The sequence below is a fragment of the Homo sapiens genome, chromosome X (genome assembly GCF_000001405.40).
Source record: "Homo sapiens chromosome X, GRCh38.p14 Primary Assembly".
In the NCBI taxonomy this organism is placed as follows: domain Eukaryota; kingdom Metazoa; phylum Chordata; class Mammalia; order Primates; family Hominidae; genus Homo; species Homo sapiens.
Genome location: NC_000023.11, coordinates 45,152,226 through 45,167,976, shown reverse-complemented (window position 1 = coordinate 45,167,976; position 15,751 = coordinate 45,152,226). Strand labels below are relative to the sequence as shown.

Here is a 15,751-nt window from a genome sequence, read left to right as displayed (position 1 = left end):
ACAGTGGCTCACGCCTATAATCCCAGCAGTTTGGGAGGCCAAGGCAGGCGGATCACCTGAGGTCAGGAGTTCAAGACCAGCCTGGCCAAAGTGGCAAAACCCTGACTCTACTAAAAATACAAAACTTAGCCAGGCGTGGTGGCACACGCCTGTAATCCTAGCTAGTCGGGAGGCTGAGGCAGGAGAATCACTTGAACCCAGGAGGCGGAGGTTGCAGTGAACTGGGATCACACCACTGCACTCCAGCCTGGGTGACTGAGTGAGACTCCATCTCAAAAACAAGAAAAAAAAAAGAATCACTCTGGCGGCCAGACACTTGTAGAATCCAAAGTTAACACACCAAAAAGCTTTGTGCTGTGTCTGGGTTTCAGTGGAAAAAATAATCAGAAAGACCTTTAGTAAAAGAAAAAAAATTCATGTACTGTAGTAGGAAAACAATTGTGAGATGTTTCTCCTCTTTTTTTTTTTTTTTTTTTTTTTTGAGACAGTCTTGTTTTGTTGCCCAGGCTGGAGTGCCATGCATATGGCATAATCACAGCTCAGCGCAGCCTCAACCTCCCAGGCTCAAGCGATCCTCTCACCTCAGCCTCCCAAGTAGCTGGGACTACAGGTGTGGCACCACGATGCCCAGCTAATTTTTCATTTTTTTGTAGACACATGGTCTCCCTATGTTGCCCAGACTTGTCTGGAACTCCTAGGCTCATGCAATCCTCCCACCTCGGCCTCCCAAAGTGCTGGGAATATAGGCATGAGCCACTGCACCCAGCCAAGATGTTTCTCTTAATGACACAAACCAAAAAAGAGTTTTCATTATTTTGAATACAATACAGCTTGGAGAAATGTTCAGTAACTTTTGGTTTAATTATCCACAGCTGAGACAGTTATTGAATCAACATTGTTTTAATTATAAAGCATTGATTAACTTATGATGCATGATTAACCTAAGTCCCATTTCACATGCATATTTAACAACTAAATCATGTGAAAGTTGTTCAGGTGTGTAACCAGAAAGGAAACTCATAGGTTTATTAGCATTAGCACGTTCTCTTCTTCTCCCTGGGTGAGCTTGAGAACAATAAGTCCACTCAAAGTAAAAATTCATTTGTTCAAGATTTCCCTCAGCCTTCCAAATGTAGCTGGCAAGGAAAACCTTCTTACTGAGACGGGCTGACTTTTAATCTTGGAAAAGCCACATTTCTGGTCTTAGATTTTCTTTCTAAGAGGAGTTCATGTTCTTTTTTTCACACACTTGTTTCCATCTGAGCAAATATTCGAATATGTTCAGTAGTGGCAAATCTTTGTCTTTTGAGAAACATTTGCTTTTGGAAACTGCCAGAAGTCAGGCAGAAGCAAGTTGGACAATTAAGATGGAAGATGGGCTTGAGGATAATGTGGTTATACCGGGGCACAGGATGGTGAATGCTATGACAAGGTTCGCGCACATTATCTTCCATGCCATTCCCATGAGGTTTCAGAAAAGACACTGTCATCCCCCCTCTTACAGAGGCGGAAATTGAGTCTCAGTAGGCCCAGGACATCCAATCCTAACCCGCTGCCCTTCCCTCATGCCTCAATAAAACCCCATTTCTCTGGGTTGGTGGGCTGCCTGGCTCTCCTGGAGACAAAGAACAAAGACTCCATGAGCCCACTCTCTGGAAAAGGTGTTTGTGGTAAGGCCATCCCTGGCCCAGTACTTGGCACGGAAGCTTTTAAGACCCGAAGCAGCCCTGGCATCCAGCGACCATGCATCTGGTGCTTCGGTCACTGTTTCATGGGCCCCCAATCACCCTCACTCATGGCATCTCTGCTTCTTTCCATAGCATTGCCCCATCCTCTCTTTCTCAGATAGATCCCAAATCAAAATCCCAAAAGGGAATCAGAATAATTGGCTTAACTCTTTACCAACAGCTCATTAGGTAGAGCCTTTCACACCAGGTACCCCCTATCCATCAAAGATGGCCTTGCCCTGCTGCCCTAAGCAAGTGGCCATGGAAGGGGAAGCTTCAGCTATAAGGGGACATAGGGCATGGAGAGTACCATGGCTCTTTATGGAAGGCACGTCTAGCACATGGCAGTGACAATGATACGTACTAATGTACTGAATGCAGAGGACGTGCCTCTCACCAGGCCAAGGCTTTTGCATGCGTGTTCTGTGAGGCTTGTAAACCGAGTTTGTGCCGAAATTCCAAAGAGAGAGCTGGAGAAGCAGCAGTAGAGAACTCCAGCAGTGTCTCTGGTTCTTTTTACCATGCTAAAACGGACTATTTTAGCATGGTAAATAGCTATGTATTGTCACACAATGGATAGCTTGACAGTATCTTCACTGACCCAATATAGGACGTCTAAAAATGGAGGTGTCTAGGATGCCAGCTCTCCTTTGGTTCTTGTCACCCCATGTTGCAGCATGGGGCTAGTGGCCAGTGGGAGTCAGTACATGGCCCTTGGACAGTCAATTACTTTCCAACTGCCACCTGCCACTCCTGATTCTTCTTTCTGCTCAATCCCTCCTTGGAGTGGGCTCCGAGATGTGATGTGATGTGAGGAGTCAGCAACTCCATCTCTCCTTCAAGCAGCTATGATTTCCTCCTGAGAGATTCATTAGAGTGGTTTTGAAGATTGTCTGGTTTTCTGGAGCACCCCTATTACAGTGTGCACATCCCCTTTTTAAAGGTTAACTTTGGGCTTTTACCAGCCAAACCTTCTGGGGAAAGATGATAGCCATCTGAGGAGTGATGGGGAAGCCATTACCAACTGTCTTTACCATCAAGAATGCACAATCAGTCCCTTGCTCCCCTTCTGTTCCCTAGGCTTGGCTGATAACAAGAACAGCCCATGTTATCTGTCTAAATCCAGAGTTCTAAGCCTCCATCAGACCTACCTTTCCAGAATTTCTAGGTGGGGACCTAGGAATCTGTATGTTTATAGCATTCTGAAGGCCAGGACTGTCAGCCAAGTTTGGGACACACTGTGCGATTCTGAAATCACAGGCTTGTCCCCCCATCTTTCTCCTGATTAAATCAATATAATACCCTACTGGAATCTGGGTATGAAAGCAAGCTTGGACACCAATAAGGAGCATTGGAATGACCGTGGCTCACTGCAGTCTTGAACTCCTGGGCTCAAGTGACCCTTCTGCCCCAGTCTCCTGAGTAGCTGGGACTACAGGCATGTGCCACTACACCCAGCTAACTTTTAATTTTTTTTTCTGTTATTATTATACTTTAAGTTCTGGGGTACATGTGCAGAAAGTGCAGTTTTGTTACATAGGTATACGCGTGCCATGTTGGTTTGCTGCACCCATCAACCTGTCACCTACATTAGGTATTTCTCCTAATGCTATCTCTCCCCTAGCCTCCCAACCCCCAACAGGCCCCTGGCCCATGTGTGTGATGTTCCCCTCCCTGTGTCCATGTATTCTCATTGTTCAACTCCCACTTATGAGTGAGAACATGTGTTGTTTGGTTTTTTTGTTCTTGTGTTAGTTTGCTGAGAATTATGGTTTCCAGCTTCATCCATGTGAGCCACCACACCTGGCCAGGAGCATGATCTTTAATAAGCCACTTCCTTCCTGGTCCTTATTCCCAACTGGAACATGGGAGTATTTTACTAGATCACTGGATAATGCTATCTGCCATTTGCATTTAACAGCCAGAGCTGCGAAAATTAATGTCACATTTTCCACAAATCTTTTGAAGCCTTTTTTTAATCAATCATTTTAAATTTTCAGGACTGTCACCAGGGCCAGAGAGAACTAAAGTTCCTGTGTATGCTGAGATAACACCAGTGAAAAAGCCTGGCATGGAGCCCAGCACTGAGAACTTCCAGAAAGTGTTAGCCTTCTCCCAACTGTGTTATACCAACCACATTTTCAAATAGTAATCATTAAAGAGGCTTCTGCATCAAACCTTCACATGCAGCTCCCATGCCACCCTCCAGAATTCACCAACACACAGGCCCACCAGCAACAGGCTACCTTTGCACAATATTCTCTGATGACAACTCCAAAGCCCCGGCTCTTTCCACCACACTGTGGTCCCCTAGATGGGGCTGTTGCTGAGCCCACCCCAATCCAGATGTGATCCCCCTGTGATCTACTTCTGGCAAGATTCTCAGTCTGGACAGGTCTTCCCTATGAGATAGAACCTGATAAGGAGCTAGGGCAATTCTGACAACATTACCAAAGGCCCACATAACTTCTAAATTTTGGTCTGGTCTGAAGGAAAACCTGTTCTTGCCCTAGTGATGGATGAACTCTCTTATCTCTGGCTTCTAGAGGGAAAAAAAAGCATACCTCTTTTACTTTTTAAGTACCTCCATCAGAGTCATGAAATCACCTGTCAAGACTATCTATCTTTTATGTTTCCATTCTGGTAAGAACTCTTTAAATGAGGACACTGCTGATTGCTGGTGATGTTTTTTGAGCAAACACTCGGGGGTATGGATGAAAGCCAATCGCAGGTCAAATGACTCCTTGGGGAAGCTACTTCTCCTCTATTCAGATTTCACTAAAATCTTCCAAGATGAAAGCAAATCTAGATTTCGGTCTTCATTGCTGTCCATTTTTGTAATGAACGAGTGTTTTTCCTTTAGCTAGTGTATCAGGCAGGGTTCTACCAGAGAAACAGAACCAGTAGGAGATACATATACATGTCCAGATTTATTTCAAAGAATTGATTTACATGATTGTGGGGATTGGCAAGTCCAAAATCCATATGGTAGGCCTGCAATCTGTAAACCTTTGGGCAGGAGCTGATGCTGTAGTTTGCAGATAGAATTCCTTGTTCCTTAAAAAAATCTGTTTTTGTTCTTAAGGGCTTTGAATGATTGGATCAGGCCCACCCAGATTACCTAGATAATCTCTTTTACTTAAAGTAAACTGATTGTAGGTGCTAATCACATCTATGAAATGCCTTCACAGCAACACCTAGATTAGCATTCAATTGAATAACTGGGGAATACAGCCTAGCCAAGTTGACACATAAAATTAACCATCACAGCAACATGCCTGCTAAATTTTATCGACCGTCTTCAGACTGTTAAGGATTGTGGTAGAGAACTGTGACAGCCACTCTCAGCATCACCCTGAACCAAAGGCCCCTATCAAGTAACAATATAGCCAAGCAAAATTCCAGTCAATAGAGACATTGACTGGTTGGCTGGCTTCCCAAGGGATAGCACCAGACAAGAAATGCAAGGATGAGGAAACCAGGCACGGGAGAGAGAGGGGCAACAGAGGTCCAGGGTTTGGTTATCTTTTTATTTTTCACTGGGAGGTGGTAAGTTAGCCCTGTTGCCCATGTATGCAGATGGGAGAAGTGATTTAGAAACTCCAAAGCAATTGGTAATCCCCAAAATGGGTGTATCTGGTTTGAAATGAAACCTTATTTTATTGGAAATGGTTGGTTTCCCAATTCTGTTTGCCATTGGCCAATATAATTGTGGGTTTGCACATGGCCAGCACATGCCAAACAGAAGTAGACAAAGGTCTCACTCTGTAAGTGGGACCTTGGGGAGGAGCTGCCTCCATCATAAAGGGAGGGGTTAGTAAAAATGGTCTCTTAAGCCTGTTCCTGCTACAGTTATAGAGGTTGCTCAGAACCTTCTCAGCAAATATAGCAGTTATCTATTGTTGTGTATTAAACCATTTCAACACATAGTGGCTTAAAACAACAATCATTTATTTTGCTTATGAATATGCAACTTGAGCAGGGCTTGGTGGGAAAGGCTCACCAAGCTCCACATGGCATCAGCTGGGGTGGTTCTATAGGGCATAGAGGTTCCACTTCCGAGATGGCTCAATCACATGGCTGGCAAATTGGGGCTGGCTGTCAGGAACCCAGCTGTGGTGAGTGGGGGATCTTGGTTTTTTTCTCCACATATGGCTCTCCATGTGGCCTGGGCTTCCTTACAGCATGGTGGTTAGGTACAAAAGCAAGCATCCAAAGACAGAATTAAGTAGAAGCTGTATCACCTTTTAAGACCTAGGCTTAATGTTTTTGCATCTTCACTCCTGTACCGTCCTATCCACCAAAAGTGAGTCACCAAAGCCAGTCTATATTCCACAGGAGGGAAATGAGACTCTATCCCTTGATGGGAGAAGTGACAAAAAGTTTACAAACGTGTTTTAAAATCACCTCAGCAAACAATATTCCTGTTGTCCACTCTCACATTGAGTACTATCTCTGACACCTCCTTTCTTCTCACCAACAGCCCCCAACCATTCAGCTTATCACCAAGACTTGTATATTCTGCTACCAACAAATATCTTCAAATCTTTGCATTCTCTCATCTCACAGTCAATCACTGCGTCTTCCTAACTGGCCTTCCTGCCTCCACTCTTTCTTCCTGTGATATTTAGGATTAAGTTCAGTTGCATGTGACAACAAATCCAAGTAACAGTGGCTTAAACAAGATCAAAATACACTTTTATTCTTTGCAACAGGTTCTCACTCTGTTGCCCAGGCCGCAGTACAGTATCACGATCATGGCTCACTGCAACCTCCACCTCCTGTTCTCAAGTGATCCTCCTACCTCAGCCTCCTAAGTAGCTGGGACTACAGGCATGCACTGCCATGTCTGGCTAGTTTTTGTATTTTCTGTAGAGGTGGGCTTTTGCCATGTCACCCAGGCTGGTCTCGAACTCCTGTACTCAAGGGATCTGCCTACCTCGACCTCCTGAAGTGCTGGGATAACAGGCATGGGCAACCGTGCCTGGCCAAAATACACTTTTTAAAAAACATAAAAGAAACTGATACATAGCTGTCGAAGGCCAATATAGTGGCTCCATGATTGTCAGGGATCCAGGCTACTTTTATTCTGCTGCTTCACAGCCCTTAGTGTGCCCTGGTCCAAGATGGCTGCCTGAGCACCACCCATCACATCCATATTCCAGCCAGGAAGAAAAGAGTGAAGAAAGCTACATCCTCTCCCTTTAAGGACTCTTCCCAGAAATTTTTACTTATATCTCATTGACTGGTACCTAGTCGCATTATCACACCTAGCTGCAAAGGAAGCTGGGAATGAAATCTTTATTTGGGGTGGCCATATGCCTACCTAAAATGCAGGGGCTAATAACTAGCAGTATTGGCCACACTCCTCTGAATCTATTGTCCACATAACAACCCAGAATCACTTTCCTAAAATGTATAGCTGAGCATAAAATGCGTATCTGCTTAAAGCCTTCAGTTGTCCCCTATCCCTTCTAGATAAAATCAAAATTCCTTAAAATGACTTCATCTGTCTTCCATTCTGGGATTCCTCCTGTTTACTCTCACTTCTAGCTTCAAAAAGCCCTAACCCCCTGTAGTTTCTAGCACATTCTCTCTCCTCTCAAGATTTTTGCATATACTGTTCCCTCTGCATAAAATACTCTTCCACCCTCTTTGCAGGTTCAGGCTTCAGCTTAAACCTCACTATCTTTCAAGAAATCTTTTAGGGTCTGTATTAGTCTATTCTCACACTGCTGTAAAGAACTACCTGAGGCTCATGCCTGTAATCCCAGCACTTTGGGAGGCTGAGGTGGGTGGTTCACCTGAGGTCAGGAGTTCAAAACCAGTCTGGCCAAGATGGTGAAATCCAGTCTCTACTAAAAATATAAAAAAATTAGCCAGGCATGGCAGTGCATGCCTGTAATCCCAGCTACTTGGGAGGCTGAACCAAGAGAATGGCTTGAACCTGGGAGCCGGAGGTTGCAGTGAGCTGATATTGCACCATTACATTCCAGCCTGGGGGACAAGAGTGAAACTTTGTCTCATTAAAAAAAAAAAAAGATCTACCTGAGACTGGGTAATTTATGAAGAAAAGAGGTTTAATTGGCTCACAGTTCTTCAGGTTGTACAGGAAGCATGGCTGGGGAGGCCTCAAGAAACTTACAATCATGGCAGAAGGCGAAGAGGAAGGATGAAAACTCACTCCTTATCACAAGAACAATAAGGGGGAAATCTGCTCCCATGATCCAATCACCTCCCACCAGGCCCCACCTCCAACACTGGGGATTATAATTCCACATGAGATTTGGGCAGGGACACAGATCCAAACCATATCAGGGTCCCACAAAAATGTTTTGATTTCTTTCAAAATCAGAAGAAAAAAGCAAACTTTTAATTCCAAGAAAATGTTTGAATGTATAATTTTAATATATTTGTCTTCATATCAATGCAGTTGTAAAATATAATTTGTAATATTTTTCATGGAGGAAGGGGCCTGTGAAAGCAAGGGTACTAAGGGCCCATGAAAGTTGTAATGTGGCCCTCCTCCTGTTGGCTCCAATAGCTCATTGCAGTCATAGCCCTTCCTGTGCCACATCTTAACTGCTGGGCACCTGATGGTCTCTCCCAGCTGAGAGACACCCCGGAGGGCAGGTCCTGTTTTGTTCCCTTTGTGTCCACAAATACAGTCTGAATACAGTCTGGTGCTAACTGCAGGGTTATATGATGTGATCCTCTCATTCCCAGTAAAGATAAGGGTGCAGGTCCTGCCTGGCTCCCTTATCTTTATTTACCTTTATCTATCCTTACCTACCTCTCACCCGGTGTACTGTCTTGGTTCTAATGCTAGGTATATGTGACTTGGAGCAACTGACTTAATCTCTCTACATCTCAGTATTACCATCTGAAAAGTGGAGCAATAATAAGTTCTTGTGAAGTAAATGAAAGAATACACTACCTATGAAGGGCTTAGAGCAGCTCCTGTTGTGTAGTAAGCACTCAATAATTATTACGTATTATTGTTGTTGTTGCTCTGGTCAATTAGTGTCCTATCTCTCCCAGAGATACCTTCATTTAAGAACTGGCTCTTGGAGAAGAGAAAAAATTACTTATCCCCACCCCCGCCCCCTGCTCCCCAATGATCATCTCTAATGGTGGAATTTCAGGCTGTGTAGGAGAAGATGATCAGAAGCAGAGGCCTTCTCATAGCCTCAAATCATTTTCTATGGCCTCCACCTGGGTAGTTTATGGAGAGGGGGGCAGGGCAGGGCCTATTACGGGGAAAAGGCACAGATATTAGAGTCTAACCCATTGGGTTCAAATCCTGAATCCAATTTTTCCAACCATTACCTACACTCTGCATTCCAATTCCTTGGCTGCACAATGAGGTTCATAATAGCACCTACTTCGTGGAGGGCCTGAGAGGATTCAATGAGGTACCAAATGTGAATTAACATCTATTAATTTACTTGATCCTCATGATCTCTTAGTGTCCTCCTCACTTCAAACTGGAACCGGAGGTACAGAGAGACTAAGTAACTTGTCCAAGGTCACACAGTTGGTAGTTGTGGAAGCGGGTAAAATTCTGGCAGGCTGGCCTCAGGGCCTTGTTCTTAACTCTATTTTTTTTTATCAGGAGGTTCATGCTCTTCTTTGTTCAGCATGGGGAAAAAGGTGTAGGGGCTGGCTAGAAAGTCATGAGAGAAAAAAAAAAGCCTAGGTTCGTATCTCCAAGTCTTATCCCAAGAACACAGTGGTGCATATAAAAACGCTCAAGTGTAGCCTCATAGTTGTGATATCCAAGTCAGATGGCAGAAGGAATCGAAAGAGCCCATGGCAGGGAATGAATTCAGCCTGGGATCAGCCTTCTTTCCAAGGGCAGGGTGGGGGTGCAATGGTGGGTAGAGACACAGGTAATGCAAAACTCAGATGGCCAGCTGAGGGGTGGAGAAAGGTGGAGTCCGCCTTCTCTCCCCTTCTTCCTCTCCCCTGCCCTGCCCTCAGCCTGCCCAGTGCCCTCCTGCCGTGCTGCCCAAGAGAGCTCATTCCCTTCTCTGTTCCCGGGGTCTCTGTGGCCCCGCCCCGAGTGTAGCCTGTGGTGGGGGAGGGGGCCTCCCACCCCACCCCCGAAAAGTGCTCTGGCCCCTCTTCCCAGCCACAGGGGTCTGCCCCCTGCTCCGCCTGGGCAGAGCTACCCAACCCCTCCCACCCCACAATCCCCACTCCTGCAGGTCTTTTCCCCACGCCCCACCTGGCCCCCCAGCCTCAAGATCTCCCTCACCCCCAACAGCAGGATCTGCCCATTCCCCCTCCTGCTAACCCCCCACAAGAGCTTAGCGCCCCGCCCCCTTCTTCTCCCGCCTCTCTCCCACCTGCGCGTAGGGCCTGGCCAGCCCGCTCCTGCGCTGCCCTTCGCAGCGACTCCTGGATCGCGTGGTCAGGCGCTATGCAGAGGTGGCCGACGCCGGCAGCATCTTCATGGACCACTTCACCGACCGTGACAAGCTGCGCCTGCTCTACACGCTGGCTGTCAACTCGCACCCCATCCTCCTACAGGTATGCAGCGACCTGGCAAGCCCTCTAGGTTGGGGGTCAATCTTGGACTCCCAGAAGCCTCCCTGGATTGAGCTCTCTCCCTCCTTTTACTGCATGTCTTGGGCCACTAGCCCGTGTTAGGACCTTTCTGGCATGTGTTGGCTTCTGCAGTGTGAAAGTGCTGTGGCTGCTGTAGAGGAAACAGGTGTGGGAGCCCAGAGCTGGGAGCGGGATGGGGATAGGAGGGAACAGTAGCCACCTTCACTGCCTGAGTGGCCCTGAAGGGCTTTGTGAAGGAGGCCGACTTTGACCTGTGCCTCAAAGATTAGTCAGATGGGGCCGAGCTCAGGAAGTGGAGAAATAGCCAAAGAATGACCCACCCAGAGAGGTACCTTGCATCTATGCTTGGAAGGAGAGGAAAACAAAGGAAGTAACTCCTAAATGTCCATACACAGGGGAATGGTCAAATAAATGAAGATGCATTAAGGGCCTGGAGATACACTGGTCAACAAGACAAGTATGGTGTCTCCTGCCTTCATGCAGCTTCCAGTCCAGTGGTAGAGACAGACACTTATCATGGAAACAAACACCCATAAAATATGTGGAGCCCAATCACTCCGACTGACCCCTGACCTCAAGGGTAAGGACACAGGGGTCACATAAAGGACACAAAGGGAACTAGAAATTGGGAGAGAGGAGCTGGAAAAGGAGGGGGAGTAGAGTGAGAAAGAGGGAAGAAGAGAAAGGTGAGGAGGAGAAGGAGGAAGAAGAGGACTAAGAAAAGGAAGAGGAAGGAAGGCGGGAGAGGAGGAGAGGGAAAGGAAGGAGGAGAAGAGAAGGAATAGGAGGGGGAAAAGGTGCAGGTAGAGGAGGAAGAAGCCACAGCAAAGACAGTTAATAAACACCGGCCAAAGGCATGATGATTGAATACATAATAACAGCTCTCATTCACTGAGCACCTGCTATGTGCCAGGCATTTGGCTGAAGGTTTGACATTATCTCATTTAATGCTCACAGCCACCCCCTGAGAATATTATTATTGTCCCCTTTTCCAGATGAGATTCAGTGGAGTTCTGAGATGTGAAGTGACTTGGCCCAAGTCACTTTTAGCCAACGTCAGCAATAGAACCCAAATGCAGAGCCATCTGCCTGCCCTCAAAGGCCACACTCTTCCCACTAAAACCTGCCTGGCGACATTGGCCTTTGAAATACTAGAAGAGGAAAAGGAATTGCGGGTTGTCCTGCACTCTCACAGATCTTTTCTCCCAGAAAAGACCTTGGCTACTTTTAGGCCTGGCTCTTGAGAGGCGTGGGATGAGAGCATGGGGCTGGGACTCAGCCCTGGGCTCTGCCCAGGAAGGGCAAGTCATGGAACCCGGGAATGGCTGTGTGGCCGCACCTGTAGACAACGACAGTAGGCCCAGGACTTCCCTCCGCGGTACACAGTAAGAAAGGTCCCCTCTGGGCCGGGTGCTGTGGCTCACACCTGTAATCCCAACACTTTGGGAGGCTGAGGTGGGCGGGTCACCTGAGGTCAGGAGTTCGAGACCAGCCTGGCCAACATGATGAAGCCCAGTCTCTACTAAAAAATACAAAAAAAAAATAGCCAGGCACAGTGGGATGCACCTGCAATCTCAGCTACTCAGGAGGCTGAGGCAGGAGAATCGCTTGAACCCGGGAGGTGGAGGTTGCAGTGAGCCAAGATCACACCACTGCACTCCAGCCTGGGCAAGAGAGCAAGACTCTGTCTAAAAAAAAAAAAAAAAAAAAAAAAGAGGTCCCCTTTAGGCAGGGGAAACTCAAATGGGCACGGGTTCTTCACAATGCAGTATGTGCGTTAAAATGGGCAGAGGACTGCAAAAAACCATCAGAGATGGGGATGACTTTATTTTTTAAAGAAGGAAAACAAGCAATAAAGTGCTGATATAGCCATTCTAGATATAGCTGCTTTAAGAAATAGTCAAGAAAAGGTTAGCCAGGATTCCTCCCCACTTTTCATCTACAAATCCACAGGTTTGGACCTCTTACAAGGAGGCAGAGGAGACAGGTCGGGGCTTCATGCTTCCCTAGGCCAGTTTTAGGCTGTCTGGAAGGTTCCAGTTAGTTGGGGAACATCTGTACGATGTATATAGCTACCCCAGCCAGACAGATTCACCCACGGCTGGCAGAAGAGGGGCTTAAGGCCAGTACAGTAGTTCCCAAAACTTCAGTCACCCACAGACCACCCTTATGATTTTTGCCCTGTCCGAGAACAAGGTACCTGTACTGTTTTATTTTTATATAAATATATATATATATATATATTTTTTTTTTGAGACAGAGTCACGCTCTGTCGCCCAGGCTGGAATGCAGTGGCACGATCTCGGCTCACTGCAGCCTCCACCACCTGGGTTCAAGTGATTCTCCTGCCTCAGCCTCCAGAGTAGCTGGGATTACAGACATGCGCCATCACTCCTGGCTGATCTTTGCACTTTTAGTAGAGACAAGGCTATGCCATGTTGGCCAGGCTGGCTTCAAACTGCTGTCCTCAAGTGATCCACCTGCGTCGGCCTCCCAAAGTGCTGGGATTACAGACATGTGCCATCACTCCTGGCCGATCTTTGCACTTTTAGTAGAGACAAGGTTATGCCATGTTGGCCAGGCTGGCTTCAAACTGCTGTCCTCAAGTGATCCACCTGCGTCGGCCTCCCAAAGTGCTGGGATTACAGGCGTGAGCCACTGTACCCAGCCACTGTTATTTTTTAAAATATTTTTCTTTAGTAGCCAGGCATGGTGGCACGTGCCTGAAGTCCTAGCTACTCAGGAGACTGAGGTGAGAGAATTGCTTGAGCATAGGAGTTTGAGGCTGCAGTGAACTCTGATCATGCCACTGCACTCCAGCTTGGGCAGCAGAGCAAAACCTTGTCTCTTAAAAAAAAAAAAAAGTTTTGCTTTAAATCAGACTTAAGTTGATCCTCTATTATTTTTCCCATAGCCTCTTCCTAAGCAGTGATATCTGTGAAATCTCAAATAATCCTATTTGTTTCAACTATGCAACTCTTAAACATATTTCCCTGAATCCCTGATGCTATCTAAAATTGTGGCAAGTCCATTAACATTCTCATACCCTGCTTGGAGGAACTCTGTTGAAATGCACTCTACTACAAAGAAATGAGAGCAGCCTCCTTTTCTGAATCTTCCCATCAGTAATATAATTAAAAAATGGGGAAGGGGAGGGATGGGGCATTGCCATGTTCCAAGAGGTATAAAAAAGGTTGAGAGACACTTCACTGATGTGTTTTGAGATGCTGATCTTTCTGTACTTGCAGTGAGGGACAGAGATAGAGAGATGATAGATGATAGATAGATATAGGTAGATAGAGATAGATAGATGATAGAGATAGATGATAGATATAGATGATTGATATAGATAGACAGATAGATAGATAGATAGATAGATAGATAGATAGATAGATAGGGAGATAGATAGAGATAATAGACAGATAGAGAGCTGTCACCAGATTTTTCTCTCTAATCCTCCTCCTTCTGGCTTGGCAGATCTTCCCTGGGGCTGAGGGATGGCCGCTGCCCAAGTACCTGGGCTCCTGTGGCAGATTCCTCGTCAGCACCAGCACCAGACCGCTGCAGGAATTCTATGATGCACCCCCAGATCAGGCAGCCGACCTTGCCTACCAGCTCCTGGGTGTCCTGGAGTCTTTGAGGAGCAACGATTTGAACTATTTCTTCTACTTCACCCACATTGATGCAGGCATGTTCGGCGTCTTTAACAACGGGCATCTGTTCATCCGGGATGCCAGTGCAGTGGGCGTCATCGACAAGCAGGAAGGTACTCAGCATGGGCCTGGCTGAGCAGCTGTCAGAGGGAAAGTCAGGGTGACAGGAGCTAGGGAGGGGTGGCCAGGGGTCATGCTATTGGGCCTTTCCCATCTCTGCATGTCATAGTGAGAGCCACTCAAGTTCGGAGAATATTAGATTTCATGTAAAATGTCCCTCACTCCTATTTGAATTTCTACTCTAACTCCATCTCCAAAGGGGAAGTGGATTTGGCCTTGTCCATGAGAAGCATTGTGCATAGTGGCACAGCCCCAGCTGCACCCTCCCAGGGCAGTGCTGTTGTGCAATTGGGTCTATGTGGCCCAGGGACCTGCCTTGACCCTCCTTTCTCTCTCTCTCTCTCTCTTTCTCACTCTCTCTCTCTCTCCTCTCTCTCTGTCACACACACACACACACACACACACACACACACACACACACACACACAAAACTTTTGGGTCCATCTCCCACTCAGAGTCTTTCTCATCAGATGCTTTTACCCTTTATCTAAAACTTAAATATCAGGCTGATTCACTGGTATATTTTGCAATCCATTTTGGCACAATTGCTCTTTATAAAGTTTTCAAAGTAAAAAAGCATGGAACCAAATGAGGTGGATGACTGAATCGTGTTTCTCACTATGTGTAAAGTTTCATTCAGTGATCTAGAACCCTTCGAACACCCTAATCTCTAATGCTAACCAAATTTTCTGAGCCCAATAAGAGGACAAAGGATTTTATTTTCTAATTTCTGATTTTGTTTGTATGCAAAAGCCTACAAAAATAGACAAATTAAACCACACATTTATTTCCTGATTTGCCTTTATTAAAAAGAATCAAATTAGAAGAAATGAGGCTGATTCCAGAATATTCCGGATATGTAAATCATGAAACGTCAGTCACACTACAACTCATTGAATACATATTTGGGATTACTTGTTTTTTCTCCTAACTTTGCATTTTATTTTGTTTTTCATTTTTATTTTTGTTTTTGAGACAGAGTCTCACTCTGTCGCCCAGGCTGGAGTGCAGTGGTACATTCTTGGCTCACTGCAACCTCTGCCTCCCGGGTTCAAGCGATTCTCCTGCCTCAGCCCCCTGAGTAGCTGGAATTACAGACGACTGTCACCACACCCAGCTAATTTTTGTATTTTTAGTAGAGACGGGGTTTCGCCATGTTGGCCAGGCTGGTCTCGAACTCCTGACCTCAGGTGATCCACCCATCTCAGCCTCCCAAAGGGCTGGGATTACAGGTGTGAGCTGCCATGTCCGGCCCTCACTTTGCATTTTAAAGGCGCAAATGAAACCAGTCCCAATAATTTCCTGAGTTCACTAATTTAGTAATAATGAGAGTCTAACAATATGAATGTGATCTCTACAATTATCAGCCTAACTTCTGGTAGGGGTAAGTGGGTTTTCCATGCCCAGGCCTCACTCTATTGTAGCAGAGTGGATTCTTTCCACGTGGTTCTCAAAAGGAGCCACTGTGTCCCTGAGTCCTAAATCTCCTGGTGACAGGGAAATGCTAGGAGACTATACTAGTTCACCCAGTAATTTTTTTTTTTTGAGATGGCTTTTCGCTCTGTCACCCAGGCTGGAGTGCAGTGGTGCAATCTTGGCTCCCTGCAACCTCCGCCTCCCAGGTTCAAGCGATTCTCCAGCCTCAGCCTCCTGAGTAGCTGGGACTACAGATGCATG

At 46.2% G+C, this 15,751-nt stretch overlaps 1 protein-coding gene across 4 annotated transcripts in view; it reads left to right on the top strand.

The window, feature by feature from the left end:
• DIPK2B (divergent protein kinase domain 2B) overlaps nt 1–15,751 on the top strand; it is a 52,504-nt gene that overhangs the window by 32,900 nt on the left and 3,853 nt on the right. Inside the window, exons 3-4 of one of the 4 annotated variants that reach the window (NM_176819.4) lie at nt 10,089–10,262; nt 13,779–14,067. In NM_176819.4, coding sequence (NP_789789.2) covers nt 10,089–10,262; nt 13,779–14,067 — 463 coding nt within the window. Of the gene's footprint in view, nt 1–3,727; nt 5,655–10,088; nt 10,263–13,778; nt 14,068–15,751 lie in introns of those variants that run through there. The other 3 variants (XM_006724559.1, XM_005272670.1, NM_024689.3) reach the window with 3 other exon arrangements.